Source organism: Homo sapiens, chromosome 7 (genome assembly GCF_000001405.40).
Source record: "Homo sapiens chromosome 7, GRCh38.p14 Primary Assembly".
Lineage (NCBI taxonomy): Eukaryota > Metazoa > Chordata > Mammalia > Primates > Hominidae > Homo > Homo sapiens.
Genome location: NC_000007.14, coordinates 105044310 through 105064463, shown reverse-complemented (window position 1 = coordinate 105064463; position 20154 = coordinate 105044310). Strand labels below are relative to the sequence as shown.

At 37.1% G+C, this 20154-nt stretch overlaps 1 protein-coding gene across 7 annotated transcripts in view; it reads right to left on the bottom strand.

Moving 5' to 3' along the window:
- KMT2E (lysine methyltransferase 2E (inactive)) overlaps window positions 1–20154 on the bottom strand; it is a 100815-nt gene that overhangs the window by 50556 nt on the left and 30105 nt on the right. For 6 of the 7 annotated variants that reach the window (XM_011516400.3, NM_182931.3, XM_005250493.2 and 3 more), the window contains 2 exons: window positions 2186–2300; window positions 884–1113 (listed from right to left, as the gene is read on the bottom strand). In XM_011516400.3, coding sequence (XP_011514702.1) covers window positions 884–1113; window positions 2186–2300 — 345 coding nt within the window. The other variant, XM_047420612.1, reaches the window with a different exon arrangement.

The window sequence follows — 20154 nt, the reverse complement described above, 5'->3', positions numbered from 1 at the left end:
GTAATTCAAAGTAATACTTGGCTTTAGGGTCCATTTTTATACTTACATTCAAATATGGGTATATGCCATACTGCATCACATCAAATAATTAAGCAACACCATAATGACCAGACCCAGGAAATTCTGTAAAGCTCCCCAACTTTCTTGCTCTCTACAATGCACTGCGTAAGTACTCTGCGCTTCCCACCCTATGCAGGGGATAAACTCAGTAACTTTCAGGCTGAAATCCTACTGTTCCCTCTTCATCCTCCCCAAATCCTTCCCCCCAGTCAAAAAAAAAAAAAAAAAAAAAAAAAAAACCAAGAAAAAAAAATGATACAAAACCCCACTTTCTGTCCCAATCACACCTTCTCTAGGGGAGGAGGCCTTTCTTGGTGGCTGAACCAGGGTTGGGGGAGGGGAGACTGTGGTTCTGGTTCAAGGAGACTCCAGAGTGCTGCAAGGTTCAAGTCAAAAGGAGGTGAGAGAGTCAGGTCAAACAAACATCAATGAAAATGTTTAATTTCCGCAAACTGGAAAATCACAGTTGACTAAGCACAAATTATTCCAAAGGAAATACAAAAGACTAAATTCTCTCATTTCTATCTTGTCTACTGCTATGTTTATGTACTTGTACTACTATTGAACTAAGTGAACAGAAAAATGTGATCCTACATGAAAAAAAGTTCAGAACTGACTGTCTATTACTCAGTTAACAACAGGGATTTCTAGTAAACTCTTTTTTCACATAGGAGGCTTTTTCTAGGACTGCATCAATAGTAGAAGTCCCACTTAAAATATGTATCCATTAATTCCCTTGAAAGTGACTTTAGTTATCTTTTCCAACATTACCAAAGGTTATCAGCATTCAAGAAAAATAAAATAATGGTGTAAAATATTTTACCTGCATTTGTCACAACAGATCATGTATCCATCATCATGTGTAAAACCACATATGCACCTGGTTACATCAGTACCATAACTTCCATCCTCAGATGTGCTGATTGTAGTAGCACTGGAAGTTTCATCAAAATTAGGAGTGGTAAATATGCCTACTTCATTTTTGCTAATAAGGACTGATGGAGGAGGGGAAGCCGGAGGTGTCGGAGGAGGACGAGCACCATAATTATGGTCCTGAATAATTAAACACAAATATAGCACAATATTATTTAATTTCAACAATGATATAAACCAAGCAACTTAAATAAAATTCAACCCTTAATTTCAATACTCAAGAGATATGAGACTGGCTCATTCCTTCCTTAATACCATTAAAAAAATGACTTGGTGAAGCCAGTTATTAAACCACAGCAGTAAGTGAATATATCTATCTACAAAGTGGGAGTGGTCACATTCACATCCAAATTTCATTCCCTCCCTACCAAATCATATCTTCACGTTCCTATGGTCACATACATAGCTCCACCTCCAAGATGAAAGAAGGTATTAAGATGTGAGAATAGAAGTGTTAAAAAAAAAAAAAAGAAAAAGAAAAACACACATCTCAGAAATATGGAGCCTAAAGAATAATAAAACAAGACATATTTATCACTATAAAACATATAATATAGTTTTTTAAATTTAGTAATTTTTATTCTGGTCCAAGTAGTAAGTATCTCATAATTCTACCTCCATAGTATCATAAATGTGTTGTTATGTAATTACGTTTGAATCTAAATGCTGCCTCTTACTAGATATGCAATATTTAATAAGTTAGATAGGCTTTTATTTTCTCACCTATGAAATAAAAGATGAAAACTACATCTCATGAAGTTGTTTTTAATGATTAAATAATATATGTCTGACACATAACAAGGGCTCAATAAATGGTAACTATAAAATTTACTATATAAATTACTATATAATTCAAAAACTAAAAATCAAAAAATTAAAACAAAATTAATTACTATATAATTCAAAATTAATAGTAGGTAGTACAATACAACCTTATCTGCATTCTTTTAGGAAGTAAAGAAATATAATATCAAACTATTAACAGCATAAATTGCAAAATAATAAGAGAAACAGTTCACTTTTATAGAACTTTAATCGCTTAATGGTTAATGAAAAATTAAACGCCTAATTATTTTGATAGTATGAAACAACCATGCTTTTCAAACATGCCGTTTCAAGCACAGTATCACATGCATCTACTTTCAATCTCTAAATTTAAAAATGTTTTTTCAAAGAAGTGTTTAACACTTACCGCATAGGGCAAACCAATGTAACTGTGTGAATGATGTGAGCTGCTGGTATATAACTGGTGGGGATAACTGTTGGATTTCTCAACTACCACAGGGCTAGCTTCTACGGATTCTGGTCTGGGGGGAAAAAGTTGCATCAAAGAGAATTCCATTCTTTTTTTTTCCTCTTAATCAATTTAATTAAAATGATAAAGTACTTACAGCAAAATAATGGCTATACAAATACAGTATCTACTTACAGCAGGTGGATACACTATAGATAAGATATATCCCATCTAGATTATGTGTCATAAGCAAACTTCTGTTTAAGTAAAATAAATGTCCCAATCCAATTTCAAATATAGTTTCCCTCTCTCTCATTAAAAAAAATTACTAGAGTCCAATTATTATTTAATAAACCCTACGGCACTGAGAAAACTAGCAAAGGGGTGCAAAGAAGTAGTAGAAATAATTTAAGCAAGACTAAAACACACAGAATCTATATGGACCTCAAATGGAACTGAAGTATGCATTTCAGTGTTCAAAAATATATGCATGTGTTGAGTGTGACCAGATATTAATATAATAAAGCCTTGGAAATGTCAGTAAACTTAAGTAATAGGAAGTTTCAAAATAAACCAGGATTTATACCTGAAAAAAAACATAAACAGCTATCTGTAAGATGAGCAATTCTGGTCTTAGATGATGGAGACTGATCAACTACTGATACAATTTGCCCACTGTTGTTGACTTACAAGCTCCCTGGCCTAGCATTTTACATACATCACTTTCCCAACTTCTTTACTCTTACCAATCCTCCTGAGCTCTACTTGGTTAATTCCTATTGATCAACAAGGTTGTGAACCTACATCTGAGGTCAGTTCACACTAAAATTAATCTCTCCCTTGCAAATACTCAATAACATGATTTGTTTCTGTGCCTTTATTTTACAAAACTATAACATCACTTGAAAAATTTTTCATGACAATCTTTATCCTACCTCCTATTAAAACTTTACATTAGAACTTAGTACTATTTGCACTATTATTTAGTTTAAGGATATTTAGTGGTTATATTCTGATTAGTCATGAGACTAGCAGCATAAAAAACATTTTTTACAGTCAACTGCTTCTTAATATACTGTCATCCCTTCACGAAGTCTCAATTTAGCTCTCAGTGGCTGCTGTTGTAAGCGCTGTGTGCCAGAATCAGCAAAAAGAGGAGATACAAACTGAGGTTATCTAATGGTTCTAAAGGAGATTGTGAAGAGTCTCCATTATGTTCTGAATATAGTCATGCTTTGCTTAACATTGGAGATACATTCTGAGAAATACATCATTAGGTGATTTCACCGTTGTGTGAACATGATAGAGTGTACTTTACACAAACCTAGATGGTATAGCCTACTATACACCTAGGCTAAATGGCATAACTATTGCTCCTAGGCTACAAATCTATACAGCATGTTATGCGCTGAATATCGTAGGTAACACAATGCACTGAATATTGTAGGTAACACAATGCTAAGTATTCTGTATCTAAACACATCTAAACATAGAAAATAAGGGCTGGGTGTGGTGGCTCATGCCTATGATCTCAACACTTTGGGAGTCTGAGACAGGAGGGTCACTTGAAGCCTGGAGTTCAGGAGTAGCTTGGGTAAGATAGCAAGACTTTCTCTACAGACATTAAAAATAAAAAAAAAAAACTAGCCAAGCGTGTTGGCACACGTCTGTAGTCCTAGCTACTTGGGAGGTTGAGGTGGGAGAGCTGTTTGGGCCTAGAAGTTTGAGGTTACAGTGAGCTATGATCATGTCACTGCACTCTAGCCTGGGCAACAGAATGAGACTCTGTCTCTAAAAAGAGAAAAAAACATGTACAGTAAAAAAACAATAAAAAAGATAAAAAATGGTACACGTGTAGACGGCACCTCCAATATAATCTTATGGGACCACCATTGTATTATGTGGTCTGGTGTTGACTGAAACGTTGTTATGTGTGCATGACTGTACTTTGAAAACCAATATTCACCTGTAATCCCAGCACTTTGGGAGGCAGAGGCGGGTGGATCACAAGGTCAGGAGTTCAAGACCAGCCTGGCCAAGATGGTGAAAACCCATCTCTACTAAAAATACAATAAGTAGGCAGGGGTGATGGCAGGCACCTGTAATCCCAGCTACTTGGGGGCTGAGGCAGGAGAATCACTTGAACCCAGGTGGCAGAGGTTGCAGTGAGCCGAGACTGCGCTACTGCACTCCAGCCTGGGCGACAGAGTTAAGACTCTGTCTCCAAAAAAAAAAAAAAAAAAAAAAAAAAAAAAAAACAACAACAAGAAAATCAATATTCAGCTAATGTCTATGCTGTTACATTAAGAATTATTCATTATTTTAAAAGAAATGTTTCTTAATTTCAAAATTAATACATGCTGATTGTAGAAAATCTAAATATAGCAGTAATAAGAAAATGTAAGACTATGTCTCCACCCAACTCCCAAACATTCTCATGTTAATATTGCCATGTATCTTTCTCTAAACTTTTCTATGCATCATTATATCTACACAATTTTTGCTTTTTAAAATCCGAAAATATATGTATTCATGATTTACTTTTTCCATCTTTAAATGTCAACATATATACTTTATTCTTGGTAATAATTGCTTATTTCATTATATGAATATAAATTTATTTAACAATTTCCCCTACGGGTAAATATTGACATTATTTCTATTTGTCACTATTAAAAGTACTACTGCAAATGTACATCCATTTATCTTTTCTGCATAAATGGTAGTATTTCTATAACATGAGTTCCTGTAGCTACTATTGCTGAACAAAAGGGTAAATGTACATAAAACTGATACTACCAAACTGCCTTTGATTACAACAGTGACACTTTTTAAATTCTTTAAAAATTACACAGAAGGAAGAAGTGAAGTTTTAGCAACGATTTACAGTACTATTATTAAAGCAACATGCAGGAACTGTGGCCAGAGCACAAAGATTCACTCTTAAAAATTTAGATCAAACTCTGCAAAACATGTTACTAAAAGGTGTGGGCAAAACTTGGATATTTTGGAGTAGCAGCCATAACTTTTGCAGTCTGAGGTCCAACAGCAAAACTAGCATGAATTTCTTTTTCCTTCTTCCCAAATGTAAGGACAGAAGTGTTACATTTCTAAGTGTTATACTTCATAATTATTTACAGAAGTGTTTATATAATTATGTATCAAAACATAATCCATGATGCAGTGTTCATTCTATAGAAAAATGAGATTTCACATACATAATTTTGATATCTTACTCTTCAGTTAGAGAGTGAAGAGCTTATATAGTGGTTTATACTCATTCATATACTGCTTTGTATGTTCTTTTTTTCTTTTAGCCTGTCAGCAGGAAGTATGTATATGTTCTAAAATCACTGAATCCAAAAAAGATTTTCTCTTTATCCATGGGAAATTTCCCAAAAGATATTCATTGCATACTCCAAGAATTCAAAATGTTCAAAATTTTCAAAATGGTCAAAAATAAACTGCAATTACTTTTGCACCAACCTAGTAGCAGGTAATGAAATTATTCCCAATATATAAGCAATAAGGTATGGTCAAAACCACCATAATTTGTAGATGAAGTCACCTTTTCAAAACTCTGAATTCTGTTTCCAACAAGTAGAACAACTGAAATGCATAAAAGGGGATTCTAACATGCAACTCAGCTCTAAAACTAAAATGTAAGTATATTCTCTTGTTAATACATAAGCCAATACTTAGGTGCTGACTGCTTCTTTTAGAAATTCCCCAACAGCTAAAAAATGCAGAAGGAATAAATAAATTAGAAAAATAACTAAACTGCAACCCTTAAGAGGTTATATATCTGGGCAACAAATAACCATGGATGCTAAGAGTCTTAGGTAGAAGGTTGATAGGTAGATAAGATGACAACACCTGAATCTGTTGATCATTAATATCATCATTAGGAGTTAGACAACCAAGCTTTATTTGCCTCTCCTAATGCTATGTGATAAGAAGCACACAGTCCCACCTATAAAATATCATACTGAAAAGAAAAATAGAAAAAGAGAAAAGGAAAAGAACAGAACTCGAAGCTAATTATATCTCTAAATCCAAATACCAGTTTATCAGAAATATGGGGGAAGTAGAATATTACATGACACCAGAAGGAGGCAATCAGCCAACTCCAGAATGTTAAAACTTCTATAGGCTGAATTTTCCAGTTTCTTCACCAGGTCTACAGCACAAAGGAAAACAAATTTTAAAAGAGGGGGTTGTTATAGATGAAGAGAGATTCAAGAGACATTTCAAGCAAACGCAATGTGTGAATTTCGATCGGATCCCAATTTGAACACATCACAAAAAGATTTTTGAGACGAGTGAGAAAATTTGAAGATGAACTGGATACTTTATGTTAATTTTGTTATATAATAGTACTGTAGCAGAACAAAAAAGTCCTCAACTGTTAGTGATAGATACTGAATAATACATGGGTGAAATAATACATGAGAGAAATGGGAATTTGTTTTAAAATACTTAAGAGGCTGGGCGCAGTGGCTCACGCTTACGATCACAGCACTTTTGGGGGCCAAAAGGGAGGATCACTTGAGGCCAGAAGTTCATGACCAGTCGGGGCAACACAGCAAGATCCCACCTCTATCAAAAAATGAAAAAATTAGCTGGGCATGGTGGCTCACACCTATAGTCCTAGGCTTCAGCTACTCAGGAGGCTGAAGCAAAAGGATCACCTGAGACAGGCAAGTTGAAGATGCAGTGAGCTATGATCATGTCACTGTACTCCAGCCTGGGTTGACAGAGTGAGACTCTGTATCAAAACAAAAACAAACAAAAAAAACAACTCAAAGACAGATGAAACAAGATTGGCAAAACTTTGAATACTGTTGAAGCTAAGTAACGGCCAACTGGGATTACTATTCTGTTTTACATACTGTCATGTATATATCTGCATTTCCATACTAAAAAGTGGAAATAAAAAAGTTCTCCAAGCATTTTTATCTTACATTTAGAATCTCTATACACTGGGTGCCAGCAAGAATAGTAGTCTATCGCTTTTCCTCCCACTCACAAAGATGTCCTGGGCATTTCTAAACCCCTATTTGTAGAATAACTCTTAACCCTTACTCCTTAATTTCAACACATTTTTCAAGGTTTATTTCAAGTATTCTTAAGAGTCCTTTCTTGACTGCTTCAACTCCATAATTTTAGGATTCATGAAGCACTTATTTACTGTATTGTTATTACTTTTCACACAATTATTTTTGTGCTCTGCTAACAATCTTCTGTCATGCATCTATTATTTTTTCTTCCAAACTCTTTTATAACGAGGCATTTTCTCCAGTAGAAAGAATGCCATATTGACCTCTCTTGAACTTGAGGTTTTTTATATGTAAAGTGGGAATAAGGATATTTGTTTTACCTTCTTCCCAGCAATATGAAGTTCAAATGTTATAAAGGATGTGAAAATGCATTTTCTCAACTATAATGCCTTACACAGATACATTACACTACTTACTTGTTCAGAATTTGTTCTCAAGTACAACTACAAATACTCTGTCTGAAGCTCCTTAAAAATTGTTTTATAACTTTAGTTCACAATAATTCAAACTTCCAATAGAGTGGTTCTATGTACAAGCCCAATGACACCTGTTTTAAATAAATCACTAATTTTGCTAGAGGAGACAGAACCTATCACCCTAGTAAAAGAAATTTACTACAAATAACATATAGGAAAAACCCAGTAATGCTGGAGGAAGACAATACCCCATGCATATGCAAAAAGACAAGAAAACATGGCAGGTGGAATCTTCAAGTAGCATGTAAAGGTCAGACTTCAGGAATAGTGTTTATTCATGTAAGCAGTCTCTCAAAAGCAAGTAATGTCTAAACCCTTGTAATAGATAGAGCCAGATTTTCCTTTGGAGGTTTGGATTTAGAAAAACTTCACAATAAACTGTACCTCTCTGTGTGTTTATAACATAAACATCTGACACAAATTCAAGTACTTGCACTGAAATCTCATGGCAACATTTGGTATAAAATGGTAGTCATCCGGAATGATTCTAAATATACTTAATTTTTTTTCCTAGCTCCAAATTAAATAGCAAATTTTTAAAACATCAAAAAGCTCAGAGACCCCTGGAGACTACATCCATTTAAACCACTTTGATAGCACTGATTAAACAAATATTGAGGGCTTAATGTTCACTAGCAACCATCAGAGATACAAAGATAAGACACTGTCTCTGCCTTCAAGGAACTTACAATAATATAGTTTTCTTTCAATCAATAAACATTTGAGCACACAGTAAGCACCAGGCAGTGAGATACTGTACCAAATGCTGGAAATAAAAAAAAAAAAAAGTGATCCTTCTTCTTAAGAAACTAACAGGCAAACAAACAAGTGTAACAATAATTACAGTAGTGCCATCAGAGGTATGCACAGGAGCCTTCATAATAGTAGTCACATTTAAGCAAGTTTTAAAGAATGGCAATTTAACAAGTCCATGAAATAGAGAAGGCAAAGAGATGGAGAAAGTATTCCAGACAGAAAGCACACATGCAGTCAGAGATAACAACAACATGACACATTTAAGCACGTTTCTCTAAGCATGATCTACAGACAACCAGCAGCACAATTACCTGTAGTGCAAGATGTTACTTTTCACAGCTCTACTTAAATGTAATGAACCAGAATGTTTAAAGATTGAGCTTAGAAATCTACATTTTAATAAACACCTTCAATTTTATGTTCACTGAAGTTTACGAAGAACAGACTGAAAAAGAATTACTAAAATTCAGAACAGTTAAAGGAGTGGAGGATGTGCCAGAGATGAGAATAGACAAGGACTAGTTCAAGAAGAACCCTGCGTATCCAGCTAAGAAATGAATATGATCTCTTATCCTGAAAAACTATACAGAGGGCCAGGCACAACAGCTCACGCCTATAATCCCAGCACTTTGGGAGGCTGAGGTAGGAGGAATCACTTAAGCTCAAGAGTTTGAGTCCAGCCTGGGCAATATAGTGAGACCCCATCTCAAAAAAAAAAAAAAAAAAACCTAAAAAGAAAAACAAAAACCACACACACAGAGCCACTAATGGGTTGTCTCTCTCCCAAGCAAGTTAATGATGTAAGTGGAGTAGTAGTATGACAAAATAAAACTAAGAGCTTCAAATGTGAGGTTGGGTAATCTGTAAATAATTCTCCTAGATTCAGTAGGCTCAGGAGAAGCCCTGAAACTGATCAGAGAAGGTAAAAAGTACTACCTCTCCAAGACTCCTTCCATCATCCTCACTCACAAATAGGTAAATTTCCTCTGCTCAATCTAATTCTTCACTTTTCTGAAAAGCACTTGGCACTATGTCTAGTTTCAAAGTGATCCTCATGACTGCATGGCATCCAGAGTCCAAAGTGGTAACTTTTTTATTTAACAAAGAGATATTAAAATGTGCAACTTGCGGGCTGGGCGTGGTAGCTCACGCCTGTAATCCTAGCACTTTGGGAGGCCAAGGCAGGTGGATCACCTGAGGTCAGGAGTTCGAGATCAAGCCTGACCAACATGGTGAAACCCTGACTCTACTAAAAATACAAAATTAGCCAGGCATGGTGGCTCATGCCTATAATCCCAGCTACTCGGGAGGCTGAGGGAAGAGAATCGCTTGAACCCAGGAAGCAGAGGTTGCAGTGAGCTGACTGCACCATTGCACTCCAGCCTGGGCAACAAGAGCAAAACTCCATCTCAAATAGACAGACAGACAGATAGATAGATAGATAGATAGATAGATAGATAGATAGATAGATAGATAGATAGATAGACAGACAGACAGAGCAACTTGCTTTTACAACAAATAATTCCCCAATTTTTTCCTTTTTTTTTCCTTGAGTTCCTTCAACTACAGAGCCAAGTGTCTTAATGATTTGCCTTCATTTTTTATGAGGTACAGAACACAGGGTACATCAACCATCATTAGGTTCATCTGATACAATGACCTGTGAAAATAAAAGACTTTGATGAATCTATCAATTACACTATCAACAAAAGTAATTCTTAATTCTCTGCAGCCTTTCTTTAAAAAAAAAAAAAATTTCGCAGCCTTTTTTTTTGAGACAGAGTCTTGCTCTGTCACCCAGGCTGGAGTGCAGTGATGTATCTCAGCTCACTACAAGCTCCACCTCCCGGGTTCAAGTGATTCTCGTGTCTCAGCCTCGTAGTAGCCGGGATTACAGGCACGTGCCACCATGCCCGGTAAGTTTTTTTATTTTTAGTAGAGACCAGGTATTGCCATGTTGGCCAGGCTGGTCTCAAGCTCCCGACCCCAGGTGATCTGCCCACCTTGGCTCGCAAAGTGCTGAGATTACAGGCATGTGCCACCATGCCTCGCCTGTTTCTTTTTTTTGAAGAGAGAAGGCGTTACTCTGTCACCCAAGCTGGAGTGCAGTGGTGTGAGCATAGCTAACTATAGCATCAAACTCCCGGGGCTTGAGTGATCCTCCCATGTCAGCCTCCTGAGTAGATTACAGTCATGAGCCACTATGCCTGGCTAATTTTTAAAAAAATTTTTGTAGACAGCAGGGGTCTCACTATGTTGCCCAGGCTAGTTTCAAAAATCCTGGGCTCAAGAGATCCCCTCACCTTGATCTCTCAAAGTGATGGGATTACAGGCATGAGCCACTGTGTGCCCAGCAAGAATCAGCTTCAAGTGCCTATCTTTGATCTATAGCACATTACTATAAATTCTGAAAAGCAATCTTTATATAGACTTTAGAGTTGAGAGAATAAAATTATTATATATTTTAAGTCCGTAAATTCTTATAACTATATGATCTGCAAACTAGATCTTTAATCCTTCATCAATTAAACAGTATGCAAAAAATTTCATAGTAAAAATACTATCACTCAAAAAATACCAGTACTTGTTAAAATTCTTTATACTGAATAATTTTACATCCCTTCTCTTCCTACGTTATGTCTCAATTTATTATATCATGGTCAGTAAACAATCACTTAGATAACATAGATATTAATAATAAATTTCAATCTCCCTCTCATCACTATTTTAATTCTGCCAGTTTCCTAATGCCTTTAAAAAAATTTCCAGCTTCCCAAAACAGGTATTAACCAAAACCGCGACTTAAAAAAACTTAGCATTCAATATACTGAAATCATGCCAATTTTTAAAGACTATTTATATATGAGGGACTTTTCATTCAATTATACAGCACCGTCAGGTGCTGTATTTTTGTACATCTTTCTACAATGAAGAGGCTATAAAATACGTTTAGCTGTAGTTCTATCTCTTCTTAACAACTGAAGTATAGTTAGGATATGGGCATTCAATAATCCTTCTTAATATAATAAACTTCAGGGTTAACTATTAGATCTTCAAGCAATACAGGCTGGGTGCAGTGGCTCATGCCTGTAATCTCAGCACTTTGGGAAGCCAAGGTGGGCAGATCACCTGAGGTCGGGTGTTCGAGACCAGTCTGGCGAACATAGTGAAACCCCATCTCTACTAAAAATAAAAAAAATAAAAAAATAAAAAAAAAAATTAGCTGGGTGTGGTGGTGCATAGCTGTAATCCCATTTACTTGGGAGGCTGAGGCAGGAGAATCGCTTGAACCCAGGATGCAGAAGTTGCAGTGAGCCAAAACTGCGCCACTGCACTCTAGCCTGGGCGACAGAGTGAGACTCCTTCTCAGAAATAAAAATAAAAAATAAATAAAAATAAAAAATGACCTTCAAGCAATATGATTCATGACTCAATGCTTACTATATGCCAAACCCTGTGCTAGCCATTGTAGATACAATGATATTAGTGATAAAACAGACAAGATGTTTATAGTCATAAAGCTTATGTTTTAGTAAAAATATAAAGCACGGCAGCAATGAAATAAAACAAGTATTTCAGATACTATTTTAGATAATGGAAGAGGGGAGGCCTCACTAGTATGTGATATTTGAGTTTAGCTAAGATTATGCCAAGAACATAAGAATGATCCAGGCAGAGGAAATCACGAGTACAAAGTCCCTAAGGCAGAAACAAATGTAAAATATTCAAAAGAACAACAACAAAAAATCAATATGGAAGTAATAGTGAGATAAGAGAATAGTGAGACGAGATTAGGGAAGGAGGGCCTTATGGTCATAAAAAGTTAATATTTTAAGTAAAACAGAAAGTCACTGGAAGCTTTTTAAGTGGGAGAATTGTATGATCTGGTTTATGCTTCAGAAGAAGCATAGTAGCTTCTACAGAAAATAAATGATAGAAGGCAAAAGAGAAACATGGAGAGTATTCCACTCCAGTGTCTAGTCAAGAGATTACAAGGGCCTGGATGAGGACAACAGTAGAAATGGATAAAAGTGTACTGATTCAAAATATACTTTTGGCCAGGCGCGGCGGTTCATGCCTATAATCCCAGCACTTTGTGAAGTCAGGAGTTCGAGACCAGCCTGGCCAACACGATGAAATCCTGTTAAAAATATAAAAATTAGCTGGGCGTGGTGGCGCGCACCTGTAGTCCCATCTACTCTGGAGGCTGAGGCAGGAGAACTGCTTGAACCCAGGAGGCAGAGGTTGCAGTGAACCAATATTGTGCCACTGCACTCCAGCCTGGGTGACAGAGCAAGACTCCATTTCAAAACAAAACAAAACAAAAATATACTTTGAAGGAGGACCCAGTACAGACCAATAAATTAGACATAGGGGTTAAGGGGAAAGGACCAATCAAGACTGACAGCTTAGAGTTTTAAGCAACTGGATAGAGATGTAGCCATTTAAAGAAATAGATGATGCAGGGGCAGTGGCTCACACCTGTAATCCCAGTACTTTGGTAGGCCGAGGCGGGCGTATCACCTGAGGTCGGGAGTTTGAGACCAGCCTGACCAACATGGAGAAACCCCGCCTCTAGTAAACATACAAAATTAGCTGGGCATGATGGCGCATGCCTGTAATCCCAGCTACTTGGGAAGCTGAGGCAGGAGAATCGCTTGAACCTCGAAAGCGGAGGTTGCAGTGAGCCAAGATCGTGCCATTGCACTCCAGCCTGGGCAACAAGAGCGAAACTCCATCTAAAAAAGGAAGGAAGGAAGGAAAAAAGGAAGGAAGGAAGGAAGAAAGGGAGGAAGGAAGGGAGGGAGGAAGAGAGGAAAGGAGGAAAGGAAGAAAGAGAGAGAGAGAGAAAAAAGAAAGAAAGAAGAAGAAAGAAAGAAAGAAAAGGAAAGAAAGAAGGAAAGAAAGAAATAGATGAGGCCTGGTGCTGTGACTCATGCCTGTAAATCCAGCACTTTGGGAGGCCGAGGCAGGTGGACCACTTGAGGCCAGGAGTTTGAGACCAGCCTGGCCAACATGGTGAAATCCCATCTCGAATAAAAATAAAAAAATTAGCCAGGCTTGGTGGCCACCTGTAATCTCAGCTACTCAGGAGGCTGAGGCACAAGGCTCACTTGAATCCTGAAGGTGGAGATTGCAGTGAGCTGAGATCATGCCATTGCACTCCAGCCTGGGTGACAGAGCAAGAGTCTGTCGAAAGAAAGAAAGACAGAAAGACAGACAGACAGACAGAAAGAGAGAGAAAGAGAGAAAGAGAAAGAAAGAAAGAAAGAAAGAAAAAAGAAAGAAAGAAAGAAAAAAGAAAAGAGAAAAGAAAAGAAAAGGAAAAAAAATAGATGAGCCTAAAAAACAATAACCAAAAGTAGATAGTTGGGGGCAGAAGAACATCAAGAATTCCAAGTGAAGCTGTCAACTTGGGTATACAAGTCTGGAGCTTAGGAAGATTATGACTGGACATAAAAAATTGAGGGTAACCACACACAGAGATTATATTTAAAGTCAGGTAATAACCTAAAAACCAAGTTTTTTAAAAGGAGAGGGGACTGCAGTTGAGTCTTAGACATTTAAAGCACCTGGGCATAACAGAATAAGCCAGGAAAAAATGACCAATAGTGGTTAGTTAAGTGTGGTACCTAGAAATCCAAAGTTGAACCTTCCTAGTAGGAAGAAAGAGAAGGGATGATTATTTACATCAAATCTGAAAAAATGTATATAAATTATAGAAGACTACCAATTAGTTTGACAACACAGGAGGTTATAGTAGTGTTGTGCAACCTGATAATGAATACAAACAGCTTTCTCAAGGAGTTTTGCTCTTAAGAGGATTAGAGAAATGAAATAATAAAAAAGGGAAATAATTCTGTTATATTTACATGTGATAGGAATGATCTAATAGAGAAACTGAAGATGCAAGAGACATGGGATGACTGCAGGCAAGAGGGAAGAATGAAGATTCTGAAAAGGTGAGAAGGGGTAAGATCCAGAGGGCAAGTGGAGGAACAGGACTCCAATTTTTTTAAAAGTGACATTTTTCTTTTTTCTTTATCTTTTTTGAGACGGAGTTTTGCTCTTGTCGCCCAGGCTGGAGTGCAGTGGCATGATCTCAGCTCACTGCAACCTCTGCCTCCCGAGTTCAAGCAATTCTCCTGCGTGTGCCTCCGAGTAGCTGGGATTACAGGCGCCCGCCACTACAGCCAGCTAATTTTTTGTATTTTTAGTAGACATGGGGTTTTGCCAAGTTCGGCAGGCTGGTCTCGAATTCCTGATCTCAGGTGATCTGCCCACCTCAGCCTCCCAAAGTGCTGGGATTACAGGCGTGAGCCACCGCGCCTGGCCATTTTTCTGTTTTGTAAGAGAAAAAACAGAATTTGAATATAAATACAAAATTTTAGATTTGAAGTTGTGTCCCCAGGACCCAAAACAGTAGCTGGCATATAACAAGCCCTCAATAAATATTTACTAATTTAGAGCACTGAATTAGAACTTTATTTTTTTTTTTTTGAGACAAGGTCTCACTTTGTCACCCAGGCTAGAATGTAGTGGTGTGATCTCAGCTCACTGCAGCCTAGACCTCCCAGGCTCAAGCGATCATCCCGCCTCAGCTCAAGTAGCTGGGACTACGGGCACAAGCAACCACACTTGGCTAACTATGGTATTTTTTTTGTACAGATGGGGTTTCATCATGTTGCCAAGGCCAGTCTTGAATTCTTGGGCTCAAGCAACTGGCCAGCCTCAGCCTCCCAAAGTGCTAGGAATACAGGTGTGAGCCACCACGCCTGGCCAGCACTTATTTCACTTAAAATCTTAACTTCTTATGGCCCCTAGGCCCTACTCCTCTCATCTCTTCTTAATATTCTTCCCTTGGTCTATTACTCCCATGTTTGATATTTTTTCCCTGTTCTTTAGGACAATCTAAATTTGTTCCTGCCTTGGAGCTTGTGTACTTGCTGTTCCCTCTACCTAATTATATTTAAAGAAAGTCATACCATTGAAATAGTACTTGCTTAAGCCAATAAAATCAGAGAAAAAATAGTACTCTTCGTTGGAAACAGTATATTATCAAGATTCCTTTGCTCTAAATAAGTGGTAGGCAAACTAGAACCCTGGGTCAAATCCAGCCTGCTTCCTGATTCTGTAGACAAAGTGTTATCGGAACACTGTCATGTCCATTCATTTACACACACAGTCTGCTTTACAGCTGCAAGACCAGAGCTGAGTAGTTACAACAGAAACCATATCATTGCAAGTCTTAAATATTTATTCTTTAGCCCTTTACAGGAAAGTTCTGCTGATCCTTGCTCTAAATTTAATTCTAAATTCCAAAATAATTAGGCAAGTAAAAGAGGATTTTCAATAACACACACGTATTTTTTTAACAATCAGGAACCAAATTAAATTTAAAAATGAGAAAATGTATGGAGAAACTGAGCTAGCTATAAAATCTAGTATTAAATGTCACATGTTGACCCAGGTTTTTAAAACTCTATCCCCTTAAATAATCAAATTTTAAAGTCACAATAGGGTTTTTTTTAAAACTCAGTATTTAATCCTTCATTTGGCTGAATAAAATTATCATGAGATTTCCTGGTGTTAAAAAATGAGGATTTTGGCCAGGCACAGGGGCTCATGCCTATAATCTCAGCACGTTGGGAGGCCAAGGCAGACAGATCACTTGAGCCCAAGAGTTCAAGACTAGCCTGGACAACATGATGAAACCCTATCTGTACAAAAAAATACAAAATTAGCCAAGTGTGGTGGTGTGTACCTGTAGTTCCAGCTACTTGGGGTGCTGTGATAGGACGACTGCTTGGGCCTGGGAGGTGGAGGCTTCAGTGACCCATGATCACACTACTGTACTCCAGTCTGTGCGACCTTGAGGTCCTTTTTTGAGTCCCTATCCACCCCCCAAAAAAAAGGATTTCACACAATTGTCTACCATAGCTGCTGAAACAAACGGTATTTCCATTTCTTTTTCCTAAGAGCAGTTATTGTCTTGTGCTAGCTCTTAGAATCCTTGGGAATGTTTATGGTAGGAGAAGGGTTAAAAGTGTTCTAAGCCCTTCACTTCCATTTCAACCAGAGTTGTTTTCCTTTTATCTGTTTTATATATTTTGTTTTTGCAGAAGTATTTGAAAAGCACAGGTAGTCATAAATTCAGCCAATAGCTAACAGCACTGGTTTAGTGAGAAAAAGCAAGACATGGATCTAAAATAGACCAGGAATATCACCCTAGTTCTGATAACTTACAATCCGTGACTTCAGGGAAGTTAGTTAACCCTTCTGAAACTTTGTTTTCACATCTTTGAGAAGAAGTTAACATTGGACTCACAGTATAAAAATAATGCAGTAACACATGTAAAACATTTACCTGGCACAGCAGCGCTCAACAAATTGTAATTCACTCCTTCTTCTCTTACTATTAAGTTTAACAATACAGAATTACTGATACCAGACCAATTCTGACCTATAAAAATGGCATTCATATAGTTCAACTTAATCCTGCAAAAATCAGCTGTGCAGACAAGAGTTACCAGAGGGTAGAAAGGCCGCCTTACAAGGGTGGCCCTTGGCTGGCATTTGGGAATTTAGCTGGTAAACAGTTCCCTACATTGATAAGAAACTTTCCTCAAATGATAAGGGCAGCTTACTCTGCCTACACTGTTTATACAAACAATATGGTTTATGTTGTATACTTATTTTCTTTCTGGGAGTCTGGAATTTTGGTACATTCTAGGCAGATGCCTACGTGCCATCCCTCAAGAAAAACTTTGGGCACTCAGTCTCTAATGAGCTTCCTTGGTAGACAACATTTCACATGTGTTGTCACAATTCATTGCTGAAGAAATTAAGTGCATCCTATGTGCCTCAATGGGGAGAAGCCTCATAGAATTTTGCACCTGCTTTCCTCCAGGTTTCACCCCATGTACCTTTTCCCTTTGCTGATTTCGCTTTGGATTCTTTTGCTGTAATAAATCTTAGCCATAAGTACAACTACATTCTGGATCCTGTGAGTCCTTCCAGCAAATCTTTGAGCCTGTGGACGGTCTTGGGATCACATTTGACACATCAACTTTTAAAATACAACTATTTTAATGGCAATTTTGTTAAACTGTATTGTACATAGTCCTAACTTCTCAGAATATATTACATTTAAAATTAGATGGCAAGGTAAATTTTGATGTATTTACATGCTATCATAATGTGATACTCTCAAGGGTTAAATTCTATAAACCTACTTTCTCCTATACTAAATGTCCCAAATTGCCAGGGCACTGACTTCTTCTGAGTAGACACAAACTTTCAGGAATGCAATCTGGCAACATATATCAGTAGCCTTTAAAAAGATCTTGCATTCCATTTGACCTAGTAATTCTAGATCACATTTATTCTAAGTAAATCATTAAAGACATGTACAAAAATTATGCCAAAATGCTAATTTCAATGCAATATTTGGCTCAAACAACGTACATATTCAATGAGACTGATTAAAACTTAATTTTGGTATACCTCTAGACTGGAATACCATGAAACCATTCAAACAGGAGTTTGAAGAAAGAAAGGAAGAAAAAAAGAAAGCCTTTGCATACTATTAAAAGGAGTCTGAATTTAGACTTAAAGGCAACAAAGAAGCAGTGATGTAAAAACCTGGGAAAATTAAATGACTTATGTGTTTTTAGAAAAATTATGGCTTATGTGTATTGCTGTCTTTGAGTGAAAAATAGAATATATGAATAAGACGGCTTTTTTGGTGTGAATTTATTAGAGAGGACGAGGGAAAGAAGAGAGAATTAGTATAGTACTAATTTTATTAAGTTTGAACTACTCACAGAACATCTAAGTGGTCTAGTAATGCAGAGGGCTATGTGAGTAGAGCCCACGAGAGAATTAGGTAAGGATGATTTGGAAGTCATGAGCATGCAAAAACAGTGAAAGCTATAGAAGTAGATGACATCTCCAGGACAGTTTAAAAAGTAAGGAAGTACAGATCCCTAGAAAACACAAATATTTAAGAAAAAGAAGAAACATTTAAAAAGGAGATCATGCCATAAAAAGAAAACCAGATGGAAAAAAGAGATCGACGATTCCTCAAAATGTTAAATGTGGAATTATGTTATGACCTAGCAATTCCACTCCTAGCTATAAAACCAAAAGAATTTAAAACAGGGAGTCAAACAGATACCTGTATACCAATGTTCATAGCAGTACTATTTCCAATAGCCAAAAGGTAGGAACAACCCAAGTGTACGTCAAGAGATGAATGGATAAGCAAAATATAGTACATCTATACAATGGACTATTATTCAGCCATAAAAAGGAATGGAATTCTGGTATATGCTATAACATGGTTGAATCCTGAAAACATTATGCTAAGTAAAATAAGCCAGACATAAGAGAATAAGTATTTTATAATTCCACTTATATGAGGTATCTAGAATAGGCAAATAAAGATAGAAACTACAATAGAGGTTATGAGGTACTAGGAGAAGGGGAAAGAAGGAGTTATTTAGTGAATGCGGAGTTTCTATTTGGGATGATAAAGTTTGAAAACAGTAGTGATGGCTGCACAACACTGTGAATGTACTTACTGCCACCGAATTGTTCACTTAAAAATGGTTAACACGATAAATGTTGTATCTATTTTACCACAACTTAAAAATATATATTTTCACTAAAGCCAAAGGTAAAGAGAGTCAATAGTATCAAATTCTGCTGCAAGATCGGGCAATGTAAGAAGATCTGAGAACTAGGCATGGGCCTTAATGTGATGGTAGCATGGTCACTGTAATAACTAAATTATACATAGCAGGTGGAAGAATTAATAAAAGGAAGAACACCATAAGGATTTGGACATCTGAATGGACCTACATTTTAGACCGTGCCCAATTACAGGAATTAGAGGAACAGATAAAATTGACAAAGGGTCAAGACTTAATCCAAATGAGTCACCCAGGCCCTACCTTTGACCCCTTCAGGTGATACTGGGAGCCTGGAGAAGGTGAAATGCTGCTCCTAAGCCTTGGTAAGTAAAGCAGGTAGAACAAATAGTGTGGTAAGGCTGGTTTGCATCTGGCTCCAAGGAGTATCAGGGTGTGGTTTCCTTTCCCTCAGAGATATCAAAGACTGAAAGTAGCATTCTCCTGGCCTAGAATCGGTGATAGTGGATCTTCAGAGGGCAATTTATTGACTCCCCCAACAACACTGTCACAAAACTACTGGTAGATCAGCTACTGTGTCCTGCCTGGTATGGGATTGAGTGCAGTGGGACTGGAATTATTCTTGGAAATAGGGTCACTGCTGCTCCAAACTGATAATCAGGCACTATCCTAGGAGGTATTTTATAGAGCAGATAATCCAATCTCCAGTTTTACAGACCAGGAGATGACTGATCTAAGTGTCACAAACCCTACCTCCAAGTCCTACCTCTACCACTAAAGTCACTATATATCCTTGGGACATGCCACATAACTACTCTGGGGTCTCAGTGCCCATATCTGTAAAATAAACTAACTCTTAATTCTAAGTCAACATGGTATTATAATAGCAAAGAAAAAAATACCTTAAAGTCCTTAAATTGGTTTAGCATTTTTCCCATCAAACTGCATTGTCCCTACTATCCCTGTGAAATTTACCAGAG